The sequence below is a fragment of the Homo sapiens genome, chromosome 20 (assembly GCF_000001405.40).
Source record: "Homo sapiens chromosome 20, GRCh38.p14 Primary Assembly".
Taxonomy (NCBI): domain Eukaryota; kingdom Metazoa; phylum Chordata; class Mammalia; order Primates; family Hominidae; genus Homo; species Homo sapiens.
In genome coordinates this window covers 1,174,024-1,200,985 of record NC_000020.11, presented here as the reverse complement: position 1 = coordinate 1,200,985, position 26,962 = coordinate 1,174,024, and the positions used below count along the sequence as shown (strand labels likewise).

Below are 26,962 nucleotides of genomic sequence, written 5' to 3'. Positions count from 1 at the left end.
GCCTCCCAGGTTCAAGCAATTCTCCTGCCTCAGCCTCTCAAGTAGCTGGAATTATAGGCACCTACCACCACATCCAATTAATTTTTGTATTTTTAGTAGAGATGGGGTGTCACCATGTTGGCCAGGCTGATCTCAAACTCCTGACCTCAAGTGATCCACCTGCCTCAGCCTCCCAAAGTGCTGGGATTGCAGGCATGAGCCACTGTGCCCGGCCAAAAGAGACACTTTTTAACAGGCAGATTTGAAAAAGAATGCAATAGAATTTATAGAACTTAAAATTACAGTAAGTGTTTATAAGTTAAAGAGAAAAGAGTGTATATTTATTGTAGCACCAGAAGACAGAGCTAGTGAGGTAGGAGATCAGCAAGACTTGTTCTCCGAGCACTGGTTACAATCCCAGTCACAACTCCACTGATCAAAACAGGATCTGTTCAAACAGGATGCCATGAAGTAGGCAGCCAAAACCAACTAAGATCGAGATGGCAATGAAAGCAACCTCTAGTTGCCCTCATTCCTCACGGAATGTTAATTATAATTCATTAGGATGCTAAAAGACACTCCCACCGGTACCACGACAGTTTACAAATGCCATGACAATGCCTGAAACTTACCTTACATGGTTTAAAAGGGGAGGAACCCCCAGTCTGGGGAATACCCCACCTCTTTTCTTGAAAATTTGTGAATAATCTACCCTTTATTTAGCATATAATAAAAAGTAGCTATTAATATAGTCAGCCAGCAATCCACAAAGGCTACTGTGCTGATGGGGTAGCCCTGCTCTGTCTATGGAGCAGTCATTTCCTGTACTCTGTTGCTCTAATAAACTTGCTTTGCTTTCACTTTACTTTGTTGGCTCACTCTTGAATTCTTTCCTTTATGAAGCCAAGAACCTCCCCTGACTGAGCCCCAATTTTAGGGTTCACCTGCATCACTACAGCGGTAGCTGTACATCACTACCTTTGTCCTATACAGTGGGTATAGGACAAAGGGAAGCAGACTGGGATTCAGTAGGAGGAAGGTGTTGTTTAGAATTTTTCCAAGCAGTGGGTGCTCAGTCAATGGAGGGCAGAAGCATAGCCCAGATGATCAAAGAGACTGGAGTAGGGGCTCTACTGGCTTGGAGATGGGACCTGGAGTTCCTTCCAAGTATAAGACTGACGAGGCAGGAAAAGGGATATTGTAATAAGGAGCCAGGATATCTGGGTTCTAACTCCAGCTCTGCCAAACTGTCTGTGTGAACTTGGGCCTCGTCTTTTCCCTCTTAGGCATAATGAGGCTCAAAATAGTTACTAAATCGAGTTGTAAGGAATGTCACATTTCTTATATCCTGGCGTTTACAGCTTGAGAATCGTTCTGACTGCCACATGCAGACAAAGTCTTATGTGCTATTTCTCGTAGTTCAGCTGTTACTTTTCAGAACCCAAGAGAATCAGAGAAACTCCTTTCTGCCACATTTATACCCCTTCTGAACACAAGGGGCCAGAGATGATTCCTTCAAACAGGCCACCAGGCTTTGTCACATGCCCTGTAATCATGGGACAACTGCCTGGAGCCGAGATGAGTGCCCCAGCCCAAAGCAGCCATCTACAGACTGGACAGGAGAGTGATCATTGGCTCATGGGTGACTGGTTTTTGAGCAGCTGCATTTTGGGTGGTGACCAGAGGATCCAATCAGATCTTCCCTCAGACATGTTGAATTTGCCACAGATTGGGAGGTTGGATTACCACTAGAACACTGTGTACCAAATGTCTCTAAAACTCCATACTTTCAAACAACAATCATTTATTATTGCTCATGTTTGCAGATCTGCAGCTCTGAGTCTGCTCCACAGATCTCCTGTCCTTCTCCTGGAATCACAGGGCTGCTGGGGCACATTCTCTTGGCAAAGGAGAAGAGAGCAAGTGGAACCATGGGAAGCCTCTTGAGGCTTAGCTCAGAACTGTCACACTGTTGCTTTTGCCATGTGCCATTGGGCAAAGTTAGTCACATGGCCAAGCCCAAAGCTAAGGGGCAAGGATGTATGCTCCGCTACAAAGAGATCCTGGCAAGTGTGTGGACTTATGGAGGGATGATGAAGTGAGACTCACAATTCTGTGCCGGAAGACAGCACTGCGTGGAAGTGGGGCCACAGGCCTGGAGGTGCCCAGAGGGAAGGTGGCAAGTGGAGACCATGAGGTGGCAAGAGCAGGAGGCCGGAAGTATTGTTGGCTCGGTATCAGACAGATGTCACTGTGGCAGTCGGAGGAGACACACAAAGAACTAGAGAGAAAGTGATCTCAGGATAAGACTTGAAGGATGATTTAGAACAACCAGCATTATTGATCTCCTCCTCCAGACCAGGCACCACACTAAGTCCTTGACATGCATAACCTCATTTCATCTTTAAAACCCGATGACTGCAATTCCAAAACTGTGCACTGAGGCACCCTGAGGCACTATAGAAAACTCACAGAGGCACTGAAACATACCTAAAATTTTGAGGGAAACGCAATGACGTCTGTCAGATATTATGCCAACAACTATTATTATGTCGTTTGAAGCTAACTGCCTAATAAACAACTGCTACACCTTCTAGGGGGCCTGGTGCACTGTGAAAAATTACTAAGATGCTAAGGGTGTCATGAATTGATAAAGTTTGGGGACCTCTGCCTACGAGGTTGGTACCATCATTATCTGCATTTTGTAGACGATTACACATAGATCCTATTATTCACAACTTATTACGGATGTGAAAACTGAGGCTCAGAGAGGCGTGGATTTCCCTAGGATCACTTCAGCCAATAAGTGACGGACCTAGATTAGGACCCATCCTCCCTCACCTTCGTGGGGAGGGTCTTGCCTGTTGTCTTGAACTGGTGGAGACTCAAGCAGGGGCTCAGTCTAGGCCTAGGGTGTTCTCTGCCCTGTACAGCAGTGGTGCTGACAGGAGCGGAACTTGGCAGTTAGAGTCTGGCGCTCTGTCTTTGGCTTCCAGCGCTGACACCTAATTACCCTGGAAAGCCATTTCTTGTGGTTAACTTGTTTTGATGCATTTTCATTTATTTTTAATCCAACTCTTAGGATTCTGGCTCAGAGCACATTTTACTTCATGGGCTCAGAAAGGCTTGGCACATGACGATGACGGGAGGTGGGGACAGGAGGCATGCAAAGGGAAAGAACTTAAACCCCTGAGTGGGGAAAAATGTCACTAGCAAATACGAAAGCCAGAATGGCCAGCCATTCTTCACCCATGGGCAGCCAATACTACTATGGATTCCCTGGGCCAGACTCTGCAATGCATGCTTTGAACACAGTGGTGAGCGAGAAAGACCTCACGCTTGACCTCTCAGGGCTTGTGGCCCGCAAGTAAGAGGGTCCATTCGCAATCAGCTGGTTCAAAATCTTACTTTATACCACAAGCCTGGTGCATATATATATATGTGGCAAGTGGGCTCGTGTATTTTATATATATAAATTTTACACATATAAATATATATAATATACATATATGGGAAGCAGGCTCATGTATTTTATATAAATATAATTTTATATAAAAGTGTATACAATTTGGCCAGGCATGGTGGCTTACACCTGTAATCCCAGCACTTTGGGAGACTGAGGCAGGTGGATTGCTTGAGCCCAGGAGTTCGAGACCAGCCTGGGCTATATGGTGAAACCCCACCTCTACTAAAAACACAAAAAATAGCCAGGTATAGTGGTGCGTGCCTGTAATTCCAGCTACTCAGAAGGCTGAGGCAGGAGAATTGCTTGAACCCAGGAAGCGGAGGTTGCAGTGAGCCAAGATCAAGCCACTGCACCTCACACTGGGCAACAGTCTCAAAAGAAATAAACATATATATAAAATTTTATATAAGTATAAAATTATAAAATACATAAATGAGGCTAGTCAGTGGCTATGACAAAAATTGCTGGCTGTCCCTCAATATCCCTTCTCCCTTTCACATATGGCAAAAGACTGCATTTTTCAGACTCATTTGCAGGTAAGTGTGCCATGTGATTAAATCCTGGTCAATAGGATACAAATGGAAGTGATGAGTTCAATTTCTAGGTTAAGGTTCAATGTCTTCCCTTAAGAAGAAGGAAGAAGGTGCCTCCTACTTCCCCACATCCTCCTTCTGCTGATGCAATGTAGTGACAAGGGCTGGAGCTGGAACAGCAAGGTGCAAGATGGCCGAGCAACAATGCAGAAGGAGCCCGGGTCTCTTGTGGTTGGTGAACCAGCATGTCAGCCTGAGCTGCCAAGTAGATTTTTCCATGAGAGAGAAATAAGTTCTGTTTTATTGAAAGCACAATTATTTTGAGTGTCTTTTTTAACAATATAGCAGCAGAGCTAGAGCAGAAGCCAAGTCCCCTAATTTCCCCTTCCAAGCCTTTTCCATAATCCCCCCACCTGTGTATTTAAGTGTTTTACCCTCTTTCAAGTGTTTTCTTTTTCATGACCATATCTGCTCCTTACAATAGCTCTCTGTGAAGTCCATAGGAGAGAGAGGAGTTCTGTGACCCTCACTATGCAGACAGGGAAAACAAGATGCAAGTGTGGTAGGTAATCTGCCCTGAGACACGAGGGTGGAGCTATTCCCATTCCTCAGATGGGGCAAGTGGGCTCGGAGATGACATTTAGCTCTGCCTTTGTGTCCAACTCCTAGTCCAGGGCTCTTCCCATCCTTTTGGGCTGCCTCCCCTCCTATTCTGGGCACCTGAGCCCTCATCCCCTTTGTAAAATACAGATGAGGTGGAGGTCTAGAAGAGAGAAGTGTCTGCACTGTTAGAGCTCCCGAACCCTTCAACCTGCCTTTCCTACCACACAAGCACATGCAGTCACTCTAACCAGAGGGGGCATGGGGACAGAGCACCAGTTGGCTCAGGGGGCCCATTACCATCTCTCTGCAGCTCCTTACCTCCTTTCAGCAGGCTCTTCCTTTAGCCTAGACAAGCAAGGCCAGTAATCCAATCATTTGTCTTCTGCCTGTGCCCTGTACTGTGTCCTTTTGGGTCCTGAACACACGTGCCCTGTACTCTGTGTCTTCTAGCAAACGCTGTGGGCCCCACTCATATTCCCTCAACACTCACCTTCTCCATGCGTGCCTACGGCTTCCTACTGTAAGCAGGTCTCACTCTGCTTAAGGAACATGCTTGACATGTGCAGAGGACAGGCTAGAAGTGCAGGAATAGCCCCCAACAATGACAAACAGGTGCTGGCGGATAAATAGTGAGAGCTCTGTGGCCTCAGATCTCAGGTGGAACAGTACTCAGTCCAATGGGACTGAGCCCCAGTTGCTCATGGCAGTCAGGGACTCACTAATGCACCTGTAGTGTATTGGATGCACTTCCTTCTTGCTCTCACTTCCCATTCCTCTGCTGTGCTTCCTGGGATGACTTTCCAAATAAACCACTTGCACTCAAATTCTTGTCTTGGGCCTACATCTGAGGGAACTCAACTCACAACACATATGCTATGGTTTGAATGTTAGTGTCCCTTCCAAAACCCATGTTGAAACCTAATCCACAATGCAACAGTATTAAGAAGTGTGGTCTTTCGGAGGCAATTCATGAGGACTCTGACCTCATGAATGGAATTAGCACCCATATAAAAAGGCACCAGGCTGAAGGGAGCACTTTCTTGCCTTTCTGCTTTCTGCTATGTGAGGACACAGCAATGAGGCACCATCTGGGAAACAAAGCAGCCTTTATCAGATGCCAATGTTGGTGTCTTGATTGTGGATGTTCCAGCCTCCAAATTTCTGTTCTTTTTTTTTTTTGAGACAAGGTCTCTGTCACCCAGGCTGGAGTACCATGGTGCGATCACAGCTCACTACAGCCTCAAAAGCCTGGGTTCAAGAGATCCTTCCTCCTTAGCCTCCCAGGTAACTGGGACTATAGGTGTACATCATTATGCCTGGCTTATTTATTTATTTATTTGTAGAGATGGGGTCTCTCTATGTTTCCCAGGCTGTATCAAATTCCTAGGTTCAAGCAGTCCTCCTGCCCTGGCCTCCCAAAGCACTGGGATTACAGGAACGAGCCACTGCACCTAGCCACGTTCTTTATAATTACCCGGTCTCGGGTATTTTGTTATAGCAGCAAAAAGGGACGAAAACAGTATCCTATCCATACGTGCCTTGTACACATGAGCACTCTGCACCCCTTTCCGCACATATCTATCCTGTGCATATCTATCCAGGAGTGTTCTGGACATGGGTATTCTCACCCTCTGTTCTGCACCTGTGTCCTATACACACCTGTCTCATGCTGGTGTATCTAGGACACCATCCTGCAATCTTCTGTTGTATGGAGGGCAGCCCTTGACCCTGGTGAGATGGTGGAGACTCTGGTGAAGCAGAATAGGACGGACAGAAGAGCATCCCTTGGCCTCAACTAGCCTTGAGTGTGACTCTGTGGCAGGTAGCCTGACTGATCTGACCCCAGTTTCCTCCCATGGTGATTAAACTCCAGGTTACTGACCTGTCAGAATGCAGAGGGACCAGGTGCAGGGATCGCCACACAGAAGGTGCACCATCAAACAACCTCCATCACGGTGGCTCCTCCTTTCTCCCTGGGCCTGCCCTCTCCCAGGGGAGTGGCTTGGAATCTACCTAACCCAGCACTCCCAGTGTGCTAGGCCCTGTGCTGGCACATGGATGAGAGACAATAAGACATTTGCCCTCAAGGAGCTGCTAGGTAGGGGCACTCACTCTTGTAGAAGCTAGGATTATGGATCTTGATTTCTGTTTTTCCTCGCCTCCCCCCTTACTCTTTCCACAGCAGAGAGAGAACACAACACTCAAGACTTTTATTCCCCAAGGCTGGGAGATCCATACAGACCAGGTGGAAAGGGAGGCAGAATGCCAGCCAGGCCGGCTGAAGATTTGTGTGCATGTGAGTGTGAATGTGGACACTCCTTCCAGGGCCTGGAACATGACCACCAATTAATTTCTTGAAATCCCTGAACCATGTCCCATTGCCACGATATCAGCGCCACTCCATGAAAGTATTAGAGCTCCAGGAAAACCAGATGAGCCAGGCTGGTGCCAGGGGTAAATATGACACAAGTAAACAAACCCAAACACCAGATCCCAGCCAGATTCTGAGAAAGGTGAAAACGGAGTGGGGTATGGGTGATTAGGCATGGGGCTGATCAGCCCCAGGACTTTAGGTCTATCTGAGGTCCCTAAATCAACCTGGAAGTCAGGGGCCCTTGGGTCTGATTGGAATTTTGCTTCCTTAGTGTAGCGGTAAGATAATCTCCTTTCTCCTTGGCACTCAAATTTCCCAAATGTGAAAATGGAGATGATAGTAACAGCCTCTCAAGACTTTTGTGAGTGCTTTGAAAATTACGATGAAAGCCAGCAGAGTGGTTACAAGCACTGGGCTGAGGTCTGGTTCTGAATCCCCAAACCATGAGACAACAGTTGTGTAACTTTGGACACAGAGTTATTAGCTATTCTGTGCCTTGATTTCCTCATCTTAAAATGGGGGCAATAATAGTATCCACATGATCAGGTGGTTAAGATGATTGAGTGAGTTAATATTTGTAAAAACATGTGCCTCGCCTATGGGAAGGGTTATGTAAGTGTTTGTCAAATAAAATAAACACACAAATAATTTGCTACTATTACTTCATCTCTGGGCTTAAGTGTTGTTTCCTTTTCCAGGAACTTTTCGTTGCTCCACTCACTCCCTTCACCTAGAAAAACCTCAGTCTCCCTTGGGTTATTACTTCTTTCATATAATCCTCCTGGACATACTACAGGCTGGCTTCAGAGATTTCTTACCTGGAACACAAGGGATCAGATTGCATCTGTATTTCTCAATCTTCAGCTATTCATATACCTATTCAGTTTTTGCCTACTGATTCTACTGTTTTTTGTTTTTTTTTTGTTTTTTTTGAGACTGAGTTTTGCTCTTGTCACCCAGGCTGGAGTACAATGGCACGATCTCGGCTCACTGCAACCTCCGCCTCCCGGGTTCAAACAGTTCTCCTGCCACAGCCACCTGAGTAGCTGGGACTACAGGTGCACGCCACCACACCCAGCTAATTTTTGTATTTTTAGCAGAGACAGGGTTTCACCACGTTGGCCAGGCTGGTCTCAAACTCCTGACCTTGGGTGATCCACCTGCCTTGGCCTCCCAAAGTGCTGGGATTACAGGGGTGAGCCACTGCACCCAGCCTGATTCTACTTTGATTGACTTAGTTCTTCTGAGTGACAGAAAATCCCAAGTAATAGTAGCTTATACAAAATAGATGTTTGTTTCTCTCATCCACAAAAGTATGAGGAACTATCCCATTCTGGTGTTTCCATCTAGTCATCTGCAATCTAGGTTCCTTCAATTTTGCTGCTCTTCCAACCTAATAGGCTTCCACTTCATGGTCCAAGATGGTTGCTCAAGTTCCAGCCATTGGTTTTGCATCCTGGCAGCAAGAAGGACAAAAAGAGAGTAGGAGGGCACATTCCTTTCCTTTCAGGAGACTTAACGCATTTTTCCCACACTACCTCCTCTCATATCCTAATGGCTTACCATCCACTTGGCCATACCTAGCTGTAAGGAAAGCTGGGAAATGAAATCCTTCTGGTGCACTGTACCCACTATTGATCAAGGCTTCTATTACGGTGGAAGAAAGAGTGAGTGAATACTGGAAGAAACCAGCAGACTTTATTGCATCAACTTCATATAGACTCATTTTTCTGCCCTTACTCTAGTCAATATCACCCATGATATCTTTGGTTTCATGAGTTACTTATATATTTCCTTTTTTTTTTTGAGACGGAGTCTCGCTCTGTCACCCAGGCTGGAGTGCAGTGGCGCCATCTCGGCTCACTGCAAGCTCCGCCTCCTGGGTTCATGCCATTCTCCGGCCTCAGCCTCCAGAGTAGCTGGGACTACAGGCGCCCGCCACCACGCCCGGCTAATTTTTTCTGCATTTTTAGTAGAGATGGGGTTTCACCATGTTAGCCAGGATGGTCTTGATCTCCTGACCTCGTGATCTGCCAGCCTTGACCTCCCAAAGTGCTGGGATTGCAGGCGTGAGCCACCGCGCCCAGCCGCTAGTTATATATTTTCTAAAACAATTTAAAATAAACAGTCATTGAAATGAATAAACACATATAGATATGTGTGTATATAGGTACAGAGATAAATGTAGTGTAGCTGATGGGGGAGTGTTACTCTAGTTGCCCCCAATGACACATGCCTCCTGGTATTCATATCCTTATATAGACCCCTCCCCTTGAATCCAGGCTGGCCCATGACCTGCACTAAGCAATAGAATGCAGCAGAAGCAATGCCAGGCCAGTTCCAAGCCTCAGTTTTAAGATGATCCAGCAGCTTTTTCTTTTGTGCTCTGGGGAAAGTTGCCTGCCATGTAAGAACTCTGACTACCTTGAGACCACTATTATGTAAGGAAGCCTACGCTAGCTACATGGAGAGATCATGTAGGAGAGAATGAAAAAACCCAGCTGACAGTGAGAACCAAGCCCATAGACACACAGTCAAGTCTACGCCAGCTCCCAGCTGTTTGTGCCACCCCAGCTGACGCCATACAGACAAGAGCTGAGCTATCTCAGCTGAGAGCAACCCAAACTGCAAAACTGTGAGAAAATAAATAATAATTTTCTTTTAAGCTGCTGTTTTGGGGTGGTTTGTTATGCAGTGATAGATAATCAAAACATCTTTATTTACTTAACACCTAAAATTATGTTATATACCACTACCTTTTGGAATATTGCAGACTAAGTGTTTCTCCTAATGTTCCTATAGGAAGTCCTCATTCTGTCTCACAGATCACACATCTCCACAGATACATAATTACAGCTATCTGATTGAGGACTTTCTGTGTGCCAACATGACCATGATAATCTCCCACATGGTCTGTTTTTCTCTCTTGTCCCCTTGCACCTGGGAGTAACCAGAGGGAGAATGTTTTCACAGTGCAAATCTACTCACATCACTCCCTTGCTTATCACCCACTGCCATGTCCACAAGGGAGTCTTCTTAGGTTCAATACACACTCAGGCTCAGCGGCTGACCATAAGCCACACTTGGCATTGACCTACTCTGAAGGATACAGCTCAGGAACTTCCACTTGCTAGCACAGCACGCAATGCTCTTCTTGGCAGGAATCTTTGCCTCTTCCGGCAGAGCAGTACCACTCAGATGCCAGATGAAATCCCCATCAGGTGGGTGCAGGAACGATCCTGGCTTAAAAGTTTCATGTCCCACAGGAGCCAATGCCTTTGGACCTGTCCAGTTACATGAATCACTATATTTAGGACACCAAAAGTATGACTTCCCACCAGATATTTATAGTTCCCTCCAGCCCAGACGCAAGTTATCTCTCAGGGGTGTTTAAAAGCATCATCAACAACAACTTATATATATTTTTTAGAACAGTTTTAGATTTACAGCAAAAATGGGAAGATGATACAGAGAGTTCCCATATATCGCTGTCTTAGTCTGTTTAGTGTTGCTATAAAAGAATACCTAGGCAGAGCACTGCGGCTCATGCCTGTAATTCCAGCACTTTGGGAGACTGAGGAGGAAAATTGCTTGAGCCCAGGAGCTCAAGACCAGCCTGGACAACATAGTGAGACCCTGTCTCTACCAACAAAAGAAAAAAATTAGCCTGGCTTGGTTGTGCACACCTAGTCCCAGCTACTCAGGAGGCTGAGGTGGAAGGATCGTTTAAGCCTGGGAGTTTGAAGCTGCAGTGAGCTATGATAGTGCTGGTGCACTCCAGCCTGGATGACAGAATGAGGCCCCCATCTCTGAAGAAGAAGAAGGAGTGGGAGAAGAGGAAGAGGAAGAGGAATGAGAAGGAGAAGGAGGAGGAGGAGGAGGAGGAGAAGGAGAAGAAGAAGAAGAAGAAGAAGAAGAAGAAGAAGAAGAAGAAGAAGAAGAAGAAGAAGAAGAAGAAGAAGGAGGAGGAGGAGGAGTGGGAGAAGAGGAAGAGGAAGAGGAAGGAGAAGGAGAAGGAGGAGGAGGAGAAGAAGACGAAGAAGAATAAGAAGAAGAAGAAGAAGAACAGAAGAAGAAGGAGAAGAAGAAGAAAGAACAAGAAGAAGGAGGAGGAGAAGGAGGGATGGAGAAGAAATGAATATTTCAGGCTGGGTAGTTTATGAAGAAAATAGGTTTATTAATATTTGGTTCATGGTTTTGTGGGCTTGTACAAGAAGGATGGCATTAGCACCTGATTCTGGTGAGGACTTCAGGAAGCTTCCAATCATGGCAGAAAGAGAAGGGGAGCAGACATCACATGGCAAGAGAGGGAGCAAGAGGGAGAGGGGAGGAAAGTGCCAGGCTCTTGTTTTAACAATCAGTTCTCTAGTGAACGAATAGAGTGAGAACTCACTTATTACCGTGGGGACAGCACAGAGCCATTCATGAGGGATCCACCCCCATGATTCAAACATCTCCCACCAGGCCCCAAGTCTGCCACTGGGGATCAAATTTCAACATGAGATTTGGAGGAGACAAACATCCGAAGGACATCAACCCCAAACCCACTTTCCCCTACTGTTAACATCTTACATGAGTATATTTGTTACAATTAACCAACACTGATACACTGTTATTAGCTAAAGTCCATACTTTATTTATATTTCCATAGTTTTTGCAAAATTTCCTTTTCCTGTTCCAGTATTCTATCAAGGGTACCACACTACATTGAGTCGTTATGTCTTTTTAGGTTCCTATCGTTTGTGACAATTTCTCAGACTTTCCTTGTTTTGATGACCTTTGAGGAGAACTAGTCAGATGTTTTGTAGAATTTTCTTCATTGGGATTTGTCTGATGTTTATCTGATGACTAGACTGCAGCTATGGGTTTTGGGGAGGAAGACAACAGAGGTAAAGTGCCATTTGTGCCGCATCATATCCAAGGTACCTACTAGCGACGTGATTTGACTGTTGGAGTTGACTTTCATCACCTGGCTGAGGTCATCACGTTTGTCAGTTTCTCCACTGTAAAGTTACTTCCCACCTGCCCCCGCCCCCGCCCCGCCACCCCAGCGCTTTCCATAAAACACTCTTGGAAAGGGAGTCATTATGTGCACCTCGCACTTTCAAAATGGGGAGTTACAGTTCCCCTCCTCAAGGACTGAGTTATCTAGATACAGAATTTGGAATTCTGCATGGGAGATTTCTCTTTTCTACCTGTTTGTTCAGTTATTTTTATCAGTATGGACTCATAGATATTTATTTCATACTTTTTGTTACAGTCCAATATTACCTTATTTATTTTGTCACTCAAATTTTTCCAGCTTTGGCCATTGGGAACTCTTTCAGTTAGCTCCTACCCCCACCATTTGTGTGTGTGTGTGGTGTGTGTGTAGTGTGTGTGGTGTGTGTAGGTAGTGTATGTGTGTGGTGTGTGTGTAGTATGTGTATTGTGTGTATGGTGTGTGTGTAGTGCGTGTGGTGTGTGTGGTGCATGTGGTATGTGTGTGGTGTGTGTAGTGTGTGTGTAGAGTGTGTGTGTGGCATGTGTGTGTAGTGTGTGTGGTGTGTGTAGTGTATGTGTAGTGTGTGTAGAGTGTGTGTGGCATGTGTGTGTGGTGTGTGGTGTGTGTGTGTGTGTAGCATTTCTTTACTTTCTGGCACTATCAGATGCTCTGGGCTCATCTTGTAGTGTTTCCTGCCCAAGTCCTATAAACAGCAATTTCTTCAAGGAGCCTTGGATCCTTTTATTGGAGAATGGTATTAGAAACCAAGATTTCAGTGCTACGTGTGCTTGTTGCTATGGAGTATCATTGCTTCTAGGCCCTCTCGCCTGACAGTAAGGAAATAAATGTGTGTATACTAGCCCGTGTGTGTGTGTGTGTGTGTGTGTGTGTATTATATATATATATAACTTTCTGTATGTAATCATCTGCATCTATATTAAGCTAAACATGAGTTCATTCTGGTATCTCCAATTCTAATCTGTTGCCACATGGATCATTCTAGCCTCCTCCTCAGGGGTCATTTTTATCAGAAGCAATGTTGCTTAGTAACATAGCAGACATATGTTTATCTGTTTCCAGGAAACAGAGCTTCCAAAGGTCAAATTCTCATGCAAAAGAGGAAAAGGTTTTGTTAACCCTTTACTTACATTCATCAGTGAGGCTCTCCACTGCTCTGAGGATAAAGAACAAATTACTTGGCCTGTAAGGCTCTGCAGTGACCTGACCTGCTAAGCCCAGGCTCGTCTCCTACCAGGTTCCTTATCAGGCCCTCCATGACAACCATACTGGTCTCCTGCAACTCTCAAACTCGTCACACACTTCCTTCTACCCCAAGGTCTTCGCCTATGCTAGGCGCTCTGCTGGACTTCTCTTTCCTCCCCTCTTTATCTGGTTGCCTTCTACTCATCCTTCTAATCTCAGCTCAGTCCACACTTTTACAGGAAGCCATTCCTATCCCCAAGACTAGGTTGGCACCCTTGTTTGAGGCTTGCACTCTATACTTTTATTTGGTAGCATTTACTATAACTGCAATGTTACATTTACTTATCCTTTTCTCCCACTAGAATACAAGCTTCCTGAGTGTAGGGATGGAGTCTACCTAGCTAACTAGTATATAATATTTGCCCATTTTCTCTGTTCTTTATTCAGTGAGCACTTATCCAGAGCTTCCTAGGTGTTAGCCCCTTTTCTAGTGTCTGGGGATACTGCAGGGAGGGAAACAGGCAAAAACCCTCTTCTTTTGGCACTTATTTTTTAGGGGAGGTGGCAATAAGCAAACAGAAACTAATGTCAGTTGGTAAGTGCTATAGAGAAAAATTCAGAGTGAGGGAGTAAAGAGTGCTGGGGCACTGCTATTTTTGAAAGGATGGCCTGGAATGGCGTCTCTGAGAAGGTGGCATTTGAGCAAAGACTTGAAGGAAGTGAGGGAAGGGGGTGAGTGCGGGAAATATCAGAAAGAAAAACGTCCCAGGCAGAAGGAACAGCCAGCGCAAAGGCTGAGGTAGGACAGCGCATGACTGAGGGAAGGAACAGTGAGTGCTTTAAAGGCGGTATCTCATCCCATTCCCATAACACTTCCTACATCCGTTTCACAGAGGAGGAAACCGAGCTCCAGGAGGGCAGTCCTTTACACCAGGGCACCCAGCTGTGGGGGTGGAGCTGGGATTTGAACAGGAGTGTGGTGCCAGGGCTAGCATCCCTTTGAAGTCTCTAACAACGGGCCAGGCCTCTGCAAGGCTGGGAGGAAATGGAGGCCTTCCCAGCCCTGGTGGACCTGCCTAGGGCTAGGCTATGCTGGCCTTGAAGGCACAGGCATCCATCATCCAGGGTGACTTCCAGTCTCCTGGTTGGGGAGGGCTGCACAGAACTTTGGAGGAGGGCAGGTCAGGCTCCGCTCATGAGGTGGCCGAGGAGCAGGACATGGCACACTCATTCGCCTGTCCTTCCACATGGCCAACTTCTGCTGGCCTTCCCAGAGCCCTCAAAGCCTGCACATTCACAATCCTCATGGACAGAAGTGGATACAGGCTCAGAGGCCAGAGGTACTAACCGAGACCACACGATTCAGCTGGTCACCGTGTCTTCCCGGAACCTGCACGATTCAGACCAAAGCTGTCTCTGGGGTTGGCGTGTGTTCCCCAAAGAGGAAACGTCTCCATGAATTTGGTACTCTAGGCACTTCGCTGGACTCATCTTAACTCCGGCCCTGTAAAGGAAAGAAGTGAAAGTCACCCCTTTTCACAGCCTGTTCACCCACACCCACCTAGGTCTTCTAGGTGATCAGACATGGGTCCTGCTCTCCAGGAGCTGCCAATCCGATGGAGGAGGCTGACCCTTAAACAAAATCACGACCGTCAGAGACAAGAGCAAACAGTGCGGGCAAAAGGAGAGCCCAGATGGAGGGGCCCGTGGGGTAAGTGGGTGTGTGCCCAGGGAGGGGTTCCAGGAGAAGAGGCCCCACAGCTGGGCCTTGGAGGGTGAGGGTGTGTTTGGCCATTGGCAATGCCCCCAGGAGAACACCCCTCTTGGGCGGAGCACTCCACTGTCCCACGGAGAAAAAAATTGCAGAGAAAAGGGGGAGGGGGATCGTCGGATTCTTTCTTGCAGCCTTCAGGTGGCGCCCTTGAGCCACGGAGCCGCAAGCGCCCGAGGAGACCGTCCCGACCTAAGGACCTCGGAGAGGACCCGGGGTCCTACCTGGGGGCTGCGTGCGGGGTGGGGGTGGGGGGAAGGGGAAGTGGCAGAGTGGGGGTGAGGAGTGGGGAGGCACCTGCGCTTGGCGCAATAGGGGCTCTCCGGTGGTGGGGAGGGATCTTCTTCAGCAGCCCCCGCCCGCCCCGCCCCTGCGCCCGTGGACCGCGGGCTCCAAGCCCCAGTTCCCTAAGCCCAGGCGCCGGCGATCCAGATCTGCCTGGAGGGGAGGGGAGGACGGTGGATCGGAGCCCCCGCACCCTCGCCCCAGCCCATCACCCGCCTTCCTGTCCCTCTCCTTGCTAACTCTCCGGGCGCCCTCGCCGGCCGCGGGCGGAGCTCCCTCCGCGGCGCTCGGCGAGCCCCGGCCCCCGCCCCTTCTCCCGTCCCTCCGTCCCCGGATCCCCCCCCCGCCTCCCCAGCGGCCGCCACCGCCGCCGTACAGCTCCGCGCGGCGCGAGTAGGTACGTGCGCCTCGGCAGTGGCTCCGGGCCGGGCCGGGAAGGGGGCGGGAGACCGGGAGGGCGAGGCGGTGGCGGCCGGGCCCGCGCCCTCCGGGCTGCGCCGCAGGAGAGAGACCCCCGCAGGCGAGACCCCCGCAGGCGTACGCCGGCTGCAGGAAGGCGGACGGGCACCGGAGAGGACGCACCCTCGCCCGCCGGCGGCCGGGCGCCCTTCGCCCCAGCGTGGTGAGGCGGGGAGGGAGGCCCGGCACAGGTACGCACGCGGAGAGGGGACCGCTGGGGGCGGCAGGAGGCCGAGGGCCGGGGGCGGGGAGTGGCGGCGAAGGACGGCGAGCCTGACCTCGCGGCCCGCCGAAGGACATGCGACCAGGGGACCCGGCCTCCCCGGGCCTCCGCCTGGTCCGGTTCGGCCTTCCGGGTCCCGCGTCTGTGGGCAAGGGCAGGAGCAGGGGGTGTGGACTGGGCCGGCGGGAGCGGGCGCGGTGGGCAGCCGGCGTGCTGGGGCTTTCTGCGCGCAACTTTGGGTACAACAGCGTGGACCTGCGTGTGCGTATCTGCGCGCCCCAAGGCTTTGTGTACAACTCGTGCGTGTGTCTATCGACTGGGTTTTGTGAAGCTTCACCCACAGCCGCTGTGCGTCCCTCTCTCCGGGTGTCAGTGCGCGCGGCGGGTGGGGTATTGGGCCCCTGCGGGTCTTGGTGGATCTGGCTTGGGTCTCACTCCCAGGGGCACTTTGTGTGTGTGTGTGTGTGTGTGTGTGTGTGTGTGTACGCGCGTGTGCGTGTGACGGGGTACTCGCGTGGCCCGAAGATCCGAGGGTCACACTACGTGACTTCTGGGTGTCTGTGGGTACTGCTGTGGGAACAGCTGCTGGGGGAGTGTGTGTGGAACTGGAGTGTTCCTTTCAGGACCTGTCTGACTGCAGATGAAATTAGTAACTGGTGGGGTCGTGGGGTGTGAATGGTGGGCGGGAGCAGCTATGTCAGTTGGTGTGTTTCTGCTTATGTTAGGGTAATTGGGCACGGCCTTTGTGTAACTGGTGAATATCTCTGAACCTGGGCATGAAACAGAGAGATGTCCTAACTCTGGGTGAGAGGAATCCTCATTTTTCTCTGCCCTCTCACTGTGGCATCCTAAGAAAAAAGTTTTGGGTTCCTGCAGCATGAAGGAGAGCTCTGCTCCCAGAATTTGGGAGCTCCAGATTTCTTCCAGGGTGTGGAGGCATCAATATATCAGTCTGGGAAAGGGGTTCCTGGGCCACTCCAGGAGCTGAGTTGGGTGGAAGGTGCTGAGGGTGTGGGTGGGGGCCACTTCTGAGCACCCATGTGGCACCCACTGCTGGTCCCTGTTTGTGGCTGGGCACTCAGGAAAATGTTTTTGGTGCTAAGAGTAAAAAGCCAACCAACAAACACATCTCTTTTTTCTGTCTATTCACTGGAAAGTAAAAGCAGTCTGGGCGCAGGCTGGGGACCCAGATGGAATTCAAACTTATGCCTGCTCTCAAGGTGCTCACGGTTGCTGATAAACAGCTGGATAAAATGAAGAGTCTATGAGTGAGGGATGCAGAGCCAGGGAAGGCTGGTGGAGTGATGCCACCAGCACAGGGGTATGAGTTTGCAGGTTTGTACATGATAATAATTCTTAGGGAATCTGCATTCAACTCCTGTCCTCCACCCTCCCATACATGCCATGGGATCTTGGCCATGTTTTATGAAATAGAGACAGTAATTCCGGATCGTGGGGCTGGTGAGGGTGATATGAGATACTCCTGCATGAAGTGTCGGGTACATGGCTCAACAGCTAGTAGGTGCTTGGTAAACATTTACTAAATTGAGACTCTGGAAAGAGAGACGTAGTGATAGAAATGGGCTGTAAAGGGAAAAGAGCTTTGTACTCACATGAAAGGCCCTATATGTGCTAAGAGGAGGTGTCTGATGCTAGTCCATATTGACAAGAAGGTCAGAAAGATTGAAAAACATGTCTTCCTGCACTGAGGCTCTTTGAGTTTCATTCATTCATTCATTCCATTCATCCTCACTTCATTTGCTCATATTTACACACACACACACACACAAACACACACACACACACACACACACAGAGAACGAACCACAGTGCACTGGAGAATAAACTCCGGCATGAGAATGCAGAGAATCGTGTGTGTGTGCATGTATGTGTGCGTAGACACACCGGAGCATGTGAGCCACTCTGCACCTGGTGGTCTCTGTAGCCCATGGCTTGTGCGCCTAGGGCTCTGAGTGTATGTGCCCTCAGGCCATCAGTGTATACAAGGAATGATGCAGTTCTGCTGTGGATTAGGAATGACACATGCCAGGCAGGGAAGGGGGCTGAGGTGGGACCTGTCGGGGAGAGGCTAGATCTGCCTAAGAGCCCCGATTGCCAACTCCAGGCGAGTGTTACAAGGGAACGGGGGCCTAAGGTGGCCAGATTCTTTCATTTTGCAGGAGAAGCCAGGAATCCAACATTTAAAATGTAAAATCTAAAATCTTTTGCTTTTTATACATTTGCAACTAATTCACCAAAAACAAATGAACAGGCCAGGAACAAAACAAAGCAAAACTTCTATCAGCCAAATATGGTCCCCGGGCTGTAAGTCAGTATCCTTCAGCGGGAATGCACATGTGCTGTCTGTGTCTGGGTGGGTTTGTGTTCAGGTTCTTGGGTGGGGTAACTCCTCTTGCAGCACAGAGAGTGTCCCTCTTCTCGCCTCTCCCTCCCGGTTCCCCTCCTGTGGTTCTAGTCCAGGTCCCCACACTTCTGTTTACATAAAGGCATTTGGCTTTGACCTAGTCATGGCTCTCCAGTCTGCCCCTTCCTCTTGGCCCTTTTAGCCATGCCATCCCCAACCTGCTGGCTTCCTTGCTGGACCCCCATCCTCCACTTTGCCCCCTCCCATCTCATCAGTCCTCCTTTCTTCTGAAGCCGAGGCACTTCCTGCTCCAGCTCCTCAGCTCTGCATGGCTCTCGGGCTCCTTGGCCTGGCTTTCAGAGTCCTCTGTGAGCCGGCCCCAGCTGGCCTCTGAGGCAGTCTGTTCCCCTTTCCAGAATGCCCTCATCACCTTCCATTGCTGGGAAGTATCCAATTCATCTTCTGAGATCTGGCTCAAATGCCACCAACTCCCAGAAACTTCCCTTCCTCTTTGTTCCCACAACAACTTCTGCATTTCTACCCCCTCCCCCACCCCTCCGTCATCCTTCCCTCATACAACAAGGTCCATGGATTGCACTGGCCAGGGTCTTGCATGCACTATTTTATGAAATCCTCACAACAACCTTATGAGGGAGGCATTTTATTCATTACCATTTTATAGATAAGATGAAGACCGAATCTGGAGAGGTCACATCACTTGCCCAAGCCCAAGTGGTGAAGCTGGGATTTGAGCCTGATATTCACACTACCTACATTCCCTCCAGTATAATAGGAACTCATCGCTAACTTTGAGCACTTAGTGTTCTGAGTACTTCGTATAGGTTATCTCAATCCTACTCCAGCTTTGCGAACTAGAGGGTAGTAGTAGTATTATTTTATAGGTGGGGAAACTGAAGCCAGACAGGATTAGTGAATTGCCCACAGCCATACCCCACCCGGTGGTAGAGTGGGATCTGGGCTTGGATCACACTGTTCTGTCATCGTCTTATTCCCTGTCTTCCCCTCTGTCTGGCAGACACCCCCAAGTGGGAATTGTGCCTGACTCACCTTCATGTGCTTAGGGACTGGTATGATGTCCTCCACAACAGGGAGAGGTTGCTACATTCAACTGACTTTCTTTTTTCTCTTCCAGCTGCCAAGGGGCCAAGGGATGAGCTGGGGCCCTCCTTCCCAATGGCATCTCCCCCTGGTCTGGAACTGAAGACACTGAGCAATGGTCCCCAAGCCCCAAGGAGATCAGCTCCCCTGGGCCCAGTGGCCCCAACCAGGGAGGGTGTGGAGAATGCCTGCTTCTCCTCAGAGGAGCATGAGACCCATTTCCAGAACCCTGGGAACACGAGACTGGGCAGCTCACCCAGTCCCCCTGGGGGTGTCTCCTCACTGCCCCGATCCCAGCGGGATGATCTGTCCCTTCATTCAGAGGAGGGGCCAGCCCTGGAGCCCGTGAGCCGCCCGGTGGATTATGGCTTTGTTTCCGCCCTCGTTTTCCTGGTGAGTGGGATTCTTCTGGTGGTGACAGCATACGCCATCCCCCGTGAGGCTCGAGTCAATCCGGACACAGTGACAGCGCGGGAGATGGAACGACTGGAGATGTACTACGCCCGCCTAGGCTCCCACCTGGACAGGTGCATCATCGCAGGCCTCGGGCTGCTCACGGTGGGCGGCATGCTCTTGTCGGTGCTGCTCATGGTCTCCCTGTGCAAGGGCGAGCTGTACCGCCGGAGGACCTTCGTCCCCGGCAAGGGCTCCAGGAAGACCTACGGCTCCATTAACCTGCGCATGAGACAGCTCAATGGGGATGGGGGCCAGGCCCTGGTGGAGAATGAAGTTGTCCAGGTCTCAGAGACTAGCCACACCCTCCAGAGGTCTTAAGAACTAGCCCACCTTATCTGGCTGCTTTAGCTCCAGTGCTACAAGGTCCACCCCCTGCTCCCGCCCACCTGACCCCTGCCAAGGCCCTGGGGTTTTAAACTGAGCTCACATAGGGCCTTGTGGAAGAAGTACTGGGTGCTGGAGGGAGAGCTCGGGGCCCAGCCCATGCCCCACACGGGCAAGCAGCCCACTGATCTGTTTTGTAGCTGAGGTTTTGCATACGGTTTTGTTTGGAGGATGGCTTCTGCTGCTAAAAATACAAAAGTTTGGAAACCGCTGCTCTTGGAGGATGAGGTTTCTTGGCATTTCTCAAGATTGGGAGCTGTTTGAAAGGTTGCCCATCCTCTTCCCTCATGCCTTGGGGAGTGAGGGACCTCTGCTGTCCTTATTGGCTGAGTGAGGGTGTTGATTGGCCGTGGAGGGGTCCCTTTCAGCCCTGATCATCTAAGGTGGGGGAGGTGGCTTCATGATGAGGGGAGAAGTCAGCACCAGAGTGACCCCCAGTACCCCCACTGACTAAACTGTGATCCTACCCTCACCAGGCCTCAGTTGCCCTGCCTTCAAGTGAGGGGGTTGGACTGGATGACCCCTCAGGTCCCTCTAGTTCTTCCCTGGGAATGGGAACCCAGTCTCTATCTCCAGTCACCCCTCCAGGGCAGGAAGGCATCCACCAGGCACTAACCATTCTCCCTGCCATTTTCTGGCCTGACCTCAGGGACCACCACAGCCAGCAGCTCTCATGGTCTCAGGGAAGAGCTCCCTGGTGGGGTTGGGTTCAGTTCAAAGTTTGCTACAGCCTGGTTTTGGTCTTGGGGTCTAATTTCCTGCAGTGACACATTTTTACAAAGCCAAGTGCACAATATTACCCAGTTCTCTGGGCAAGAAGGATCTTTTACACAGGAAAGGGTGAGGGCTTTATTGTATTTCTGTGGGCATGATGCAGGCCTTGATCACCTTCTCCTCCATAGTATGTCTCTTGCTCCTGACCTTATTTGGATAACAGGAAAAAAAAAAATTTATGCTGAATTTGTAACCTTAGTCTCCCTCATATAGTAGTAAAGTGAAGCCACAGTTTATTTGGGGGAGAAATCAGGCACATTTGGGTGGCCTGGACACGCTGGCCACATTGCCATTTGTGTTTTTCTTATGAAATGTTTCTAGGTTCCTGCAGACTTTCTTTAAACTCTTGGTAAGGAAAGGAAGTAGGCCCTGGGGCAAGGAGATACAGGTGTTTGAGGACTGTGGGGAGGCATCCTTCAGTCTGAATGGACCCAGAGGGCTTTGAGAGCACATGCCTTCTAAGCCACTGGTGTAGAGACCCTACAGGAGCCATTTTAGTGAATCCCCTGCCCAATGTAGGTCCTACTTACTCCATCTCAGTTGGCCACATGGGCCGAGGATCCTGTTCCTTGGGGGTGGGAGGGTGGGGGGGCATGGGGTCTGTAGTGTAGAGAGGCCCTGATTAGCTGTAACTTGAGCCTTCAGTCCAGTGAGTTAAACATCTGGGGAGTGTAATATCACAGCTTCTATGACAGATCAAATATCTGCTCCTACTGGTAGGTTTTACCAAGAGCAGAGAGCTAGAGGAAGACTGGAAAGGACAAGGGTTGTTTAGCTTGGCTTCCCAGGTTTTTGTTGTGGTATTGAAGGGGTATGGTGTGGAAAGAGCAAAGCTCCAAGATGGTAAAAGATTCACAAGTCCTAGGCTTCCACTGTTGTGTCGCTTTCTCCCAGGCTCCAAGTAGGCACAGCCACAGAACGTGGCATGAGCTGTTCTAAGTAAACTACATAGGATTGGACATCCCAAATCATGGGCTAAGGCTTTTCAATCCATAATGATAATTAAAAAAATATCAACCAAGTCATATGGATTACTGTGATGGTGGCAGACTCATTTGGATACTAAACCTGTTGAGTGAATGCATCTGGGACCATCAGTTCATATCAGTTTAAATGCAATGAGTTTATTTAGGGGAGAAATTGGGCATATTTGGGTGGCCTGGACATGCTGGCCGCACTACCATTTGTTTTTTTCTTACGAAATGTTTGATGTTAATCATCAAACAGATTTAGGGGCTAAATCTGTTTGATGATTAAATCCCAGGAGTCTCAGGTTTTTCTAAGCCAGAGAAGCCTGCTTTGCATTCTAATGTTGAAAGTCCTTTAGAAAATGTGTATAATGGACTGAGGCGTTATTACCTTGTCAGTGAATTAAGAAAACTTAAGAGATGACAAAAGCATTTCCCCATGATTACAGCTGAGATCTGCCAGCTGATGGATCAGAAACAGGTTTAAGGAGGAGGTGATTAGGAACACGGAGTAGGATGCTGAGAACTTTCTTTGCAGGCATTCCAGGGGCCTCTGTGGTTACTGGAATGTGCCTCTCCTCCAGGAACTGCCTCTCCCACCTAACCTGCTCCTAGGGCCCCAAACCTTGCTTTTCCTGGTGCATCAGAACAGATACCGATTTTGGAGTTGGTAAGACTAAAGTTGGAATCCAGGCTCTGCCACTTACTGGCTGTGTGACCTTGGGCAAGTTACTCCACCTCTCTGAGTCGGGATTTCTCTATCTGTGAAGTGGGATTAATGAAAGCTCTGCCTCAGGGTGGTGGTGCAGATTACAGATAAAATGGAGAACTGCATAGTATGAGGTCCAGGGATGATGATGCTCTCCTTCCCCACCTCAACTGGGGATAGCTGGATTAGGCCTCAAACGCTGTGGTCAACCCTTCTGCCTTTCTTCTATCACACCTCACATTCCAGATCAGCGCATCTTGTCAGCTCCACTTTCAGAATCTGATTGCTGTCCACCCTCGGCTGTCACCGCCAGTCCAGGGTTGCTCACTGGTGTTCTGGCTTTCTCTCTTACCCCCTTCTCCTCCCCTCCTCCCCGCCCCATCACCAGGTTCATGCTCCACTCAGCAGCCAGAGGAAGGCCAGAGGCTGGTCAGGTCAGGCCACTCCTCTGCTCAAAACTCTCCTATGGCTCCCTCTCCAGGCAAAAGCCAAAATTCTCACCACAACCAGTGGCAGATTTATAGCAAGACTGGCAAAGCTTAAGTGTCCGGGCCTCTCACTAGCACAAGCCCCTTCCAAGGCCCTGAATTGGTTTATCTATCTTGAGGATGCCCCACTGGACTGCATAAGCTTCAGGTACCCCCAAACCAGGGTTCATCCCTCACAGTGGCCTACAAGGCACTAAGCAATTGGGACCCTGTGCTTCTCTGACCTCATCTCTCACCCCTTACCCCTTGCTCACTCACCCCAGCCACACGTGCCTCTTGACCATTCCTCAACCTTACTGGGCACGCTCACATCCAAGGGACTTCAGACGTGCTGCTTCTTCTGCCTGGAAGGTACTTCCCCTCAGTATCTGCAAGGCCCACTCCCTCACCTCCTTAGGGGCTTTATTCAAATATCTTCTCCTCAGTGAAGCCTTTGCTGAACACCATATTTAAATTTGTACCCCACCCCACCTCATTCCCTTTTGTCCTTCGCTGCCTTATTTTTCTCTGATCACTAATCATGACCCAGCAGGCTGAGCCTTGTACTTGTCTTTCCCACCCACGACCTCTCCTGCTGGACTGCAAGCTCCATGAAAGCCGGAATTTTGGTCTAACTGGTTCTTGCTGTACTCCCAGTGTTAGAAACATGTTTGGCACATAGTAGGTGCTCACTGTTGAATGAATGGATGAATAAATGTAACAAAAGCTTCTTATACCTGCCAGTGCTGCAGAGCCATATGCAGGACCCAGGAGGCCCATGGTTCCTTCCCAGACTCCTGGAGCCCTCTCTAGGGGTGAGGATCAGTTGTGCAAAGGATCACATGCCTCAAAGGTGCTGATTTTGTCACTGGGCCCTGCAGCTGGGAACTTGGGAATCCATTTGCCTTCCTCTCCCTGGGCCTTGGTAGGGCTTTATGTGGAAGGGTTAGAGGGGTGTCCCTCAGAAGACCCTTCTCCCCTAACCTTGTTGGGACATACCCAGGTTCCAGCTAAACCTGGGAGACATTTGCTGGGTGTTTAGGGGCCTGTGAGAAACCAGCCGGATTCTTCCCATCCAAGGACCTTGAGTGCCCAGGCCTGGCCCTTTGGAACCCCAGTATCCATGATCACATCTACTCACTTACCTCAGGCATCTCCCAGCCCAAAATGCCAGCTGCCTGAGATTCCACCATTTTTGCTCCCTTCCTTGAGAATAAGCATTAATTTCCCTGGGATTCTCTTTAAAATGTCCTCACTGAATGGACATGTCTGTACATACACATGTGCATATGTGCAAGAGCACACACATGCGCTTGCACGTACACACACACACACAGAGCTTTCTCTTGTCTGACCAAGCCCAGAGACCAAGGACACCTATCTTGTAAAGCAGCTTCAAGCCAGGACATCCTCTGGATGATTGACGACATTTTCTGTTTCTCCACCAGCCATAGGCCTTGCAGTTCCCAGAATGCCAACCTCACAGCAACAATCAAGTTTCTCCTCCCCAGGCGAGGCTGGTTTCTCTGTATTTTTCCTGCTTCCCCCGCCCTTAGCAGGATGGGGAGAGATGTCCAGAAGCATTTCTGTCCTGGCATTTCTGGAGGGGACTGTGTGATCCTGGGCTGGGAACCAGGAGAGCTAGGTCCTGTTGGTCACCCCTTCTCTCTGTGGGCCTTTGGGCAAATTACTCCATCTCTCTGGTCTACCAGAGGAAAATTGGAAACCTTCCCACTCTGCCTTCTCTGAAAGCTGGGGGATCAGATAACACAAGCAGAGGACTTTCCAAAGCTTGGTACTCTGTGTCTGGAGAGCTTTGAAGGGGCAGGAGTAGAGGGGAAGGGAGGCATTATTAAGAAGCCACAGGATGGGGTTCTGTGTCAGGTTCTGTCAGGAGGCACTCACAAAGTCAGGGAGGCCCTCCATCTGGGCCTGCTGGTCTCTCCTGGAGAATGGACTCCTTTTGATGTTCCCCAGGAGGTACATTTCAGCTAGAGAAAGAGAAACTTGCTGAGATCTGGGCTGGAGTGGTAGGGAGCTTCTTGTCAGTGGAGGTACGTTAGCATCTACTGGTCAAGTGTTGGCTATCTTAGGGATGGAGCATAGTGGAGATGGGTAGGATTTAGCCAAGAGACTCCCCAAGCTTCCAACCCCCCCGCCTTTGAGGGGAGCCGATGTCCCAATGGCCAGATCCTGGCTAAAGACAGTAACAACCCTGGCCCTGTGATATTTTCTTGTCTTTGGCCCAAAAACCCTCTTCGCCACATTATTTCTCTTCTAGATCAAGCTGTTCCATGAGCAGATGGACAGGACCAGGACACCTAAATGGTGCAGAGGGTTGCAGGATGACCATCTTCCTCCTCCCAGAGGGCCAAGTGATTCTGAGCTTTCTCCCTACTCAAATCTCAGAGAGCTTGTCAGAGGCAGGATCCCTTACAGAGGAGGTCCACTGAGGATGATGGTCCATCAAATGAGAATGTAAGTCAGATTAGAGTCTTGACTGCCTGGATGCTTGGTTGTTGTTTAATGCCTCTTAGCCTGTTTCCTCATCTGTAAAAGGGTAGTGCTAATAACAGTGCCTTCCCCATAAGGCTGTGGTGAGCAGAAAATAACATGATACCTGTAAAGCACTTAGCACGGTGCCTGGCACCCCATAATTGCTTGATGTCAGCTATTTGTGTTGGTTCGTTCGTTCGTTCATTCACACACAATCTGCATTCCTCCCTGAGCTAGGCGCTGTAGGGTACACACAGACCCTGCCCTTGAGTTGGTCACAGGCTGTCTGGGGAAACAGGACAGTGTGATTGCTGCTGTGATGAGCATGCACAGTGGGCTGTGTGTGTGGAGGAGAGATCTGATTGAACTGGGGTCAGAAAGGGTCACCCTTCTTCCAGGAAAGAAGGGTGTGTCTAACGGGCATTTTAAACAGTGAGGCAGTACCCAGTGTGAAGAAAGAGTGGAGAGAAGGAAAGGCACTCGGGGCAGAGGAACAGCATGAGCAGAGGCTCAGAGGCCTACACAGCCTGGCGTGCACTGCGGTGGTGGTGGGGGTAAGGGGGGTTGGTGGTGGTGGGGAGGGGGGTGGCAGGGGGCGGGAGGGAGGTCTGCATTCTGGGCTGGAGTGTGGAGATGAGGCATACTGAAGGGCATGCCTCAGTGTTTCATCATCTATAGAATGGGGACAACCACAGTACTGAAATCACAGGGCCATTATGAAGAATCAGTTCTCAGAGACAGTGTATAGCACATGGAGAGAGGTCACTGTCAGCCATTATAATCGCTTGCAGATGTGTGTGGCAAGAAGAATCTTCTGATGTCATGCCCTTTAGGGGTGACACTGGCGCTGGGGAGGCCCGTCCATGGGACTGTGGACTCTGGTACCCCCCAGCCCTTCTCAGGGATCCCGCTGCAGCCAGAGGACATAACCTCAAGCTCCAGGTACTTCATCTCAACAACCTGTCCCTACTTGGACTCTGAGCCACCAAGGTCAAGGTGGCAGCTGCTGCTCTCCTGGGCTGAGGGGGAGGTTAGCAAGTGGAAGGAAAGCTGGCCCCAGGGGAGCAGGGAGGGCAGAGGAAGAAGGCGGCTTCCATGCCAACCTCTTCCCGGGTGGCTCAGTGTCTGGGCCAGTACTGACTTAGGGCCAAGGGCATTCAGCAAAGCCATTTCTCTCCCATCTCATCTTTCTTCCCTTCCTCCAATCTCTCCCTATTCCTCTATTTTTGATTCCTTTTCATGTCCGCATTTCATTTTACTGAAGTCACTCATGGGGGTTAGGCACCCACAGGAGAGTTGTTAACTACTGCTGACTCTCCCCCTGAGAGTCCCCACCCTTTCTCA

The 26,962-nt window shown here is 49.6% G+C and overlaps 1 protein-coding gene and 1 long non-coding RNA gene across 15 annotated transcripts; one reads left to right on the top strand and one right to left on the bottom strand.

The window, feature by feature from the left end:
- The first annotated feature begins 11,576 nt into the window (after positions 1 to 11,576).
- Positions 11,577 to 20,416, top strand: TMEM74B (transmembrane protein 74B). Of its 14 annotated transcripts, none has more exons than NM_001387331.1 (4): positions 15,066 to 15,848; positions 16,606 to 16,684; positions 17,101 to 17,215; positions 19,399 to 20,416. In NM_001387331.1, the coding sequence occupies exons 3-4, from the start codon at positions 17,185 to 17,187 to the stop codon at positions 20,136 to 20,138; spliced, it is 771 nt and encodes a 256-aa protein (NP_001374260.1). In that variant the 5' UTR covers positions 15,066 to 15,848; positions 16,606 to 16,684; positions 17,101 to 17,184; the 3' UTR covers positions 20,139 to 20,416. The 14 variants fall into 14 exon arrangements, with proteins under 14 accessions (XP_011527583.1, XP_016883412.1, NP_001374260.1 ...); NM_001387330.1 differs by having other exon boundaries at positions 17,038 to 17,215; XM_047440257.1 differs by lacking the exon at positions 15,066 to 15,848 and adding an exon at positions 15,916 to 16,228 and having other exon boundaries at positions 17,038 to 17,215.
- A 617-nt stretch (positions 20,417 to 21,033) lies between these two features.
- On the bottom strand, positions 21,034 to 26,198 carry LOC124904855 (uncharacterized). The gene is made up of 2 exons (XR_007067486.1): positions 25,743 to 26,198; positions 21,034 to 25,113 (listed from the first exon to the last, which is right to left on the bottom strand). It is a non-coding gene; the product is annotated as an uncharacterized LOC124904855 (long non-coding RNA).
- Positions 26,199 to 26,962: the final 764 nt, after the last annotated feature.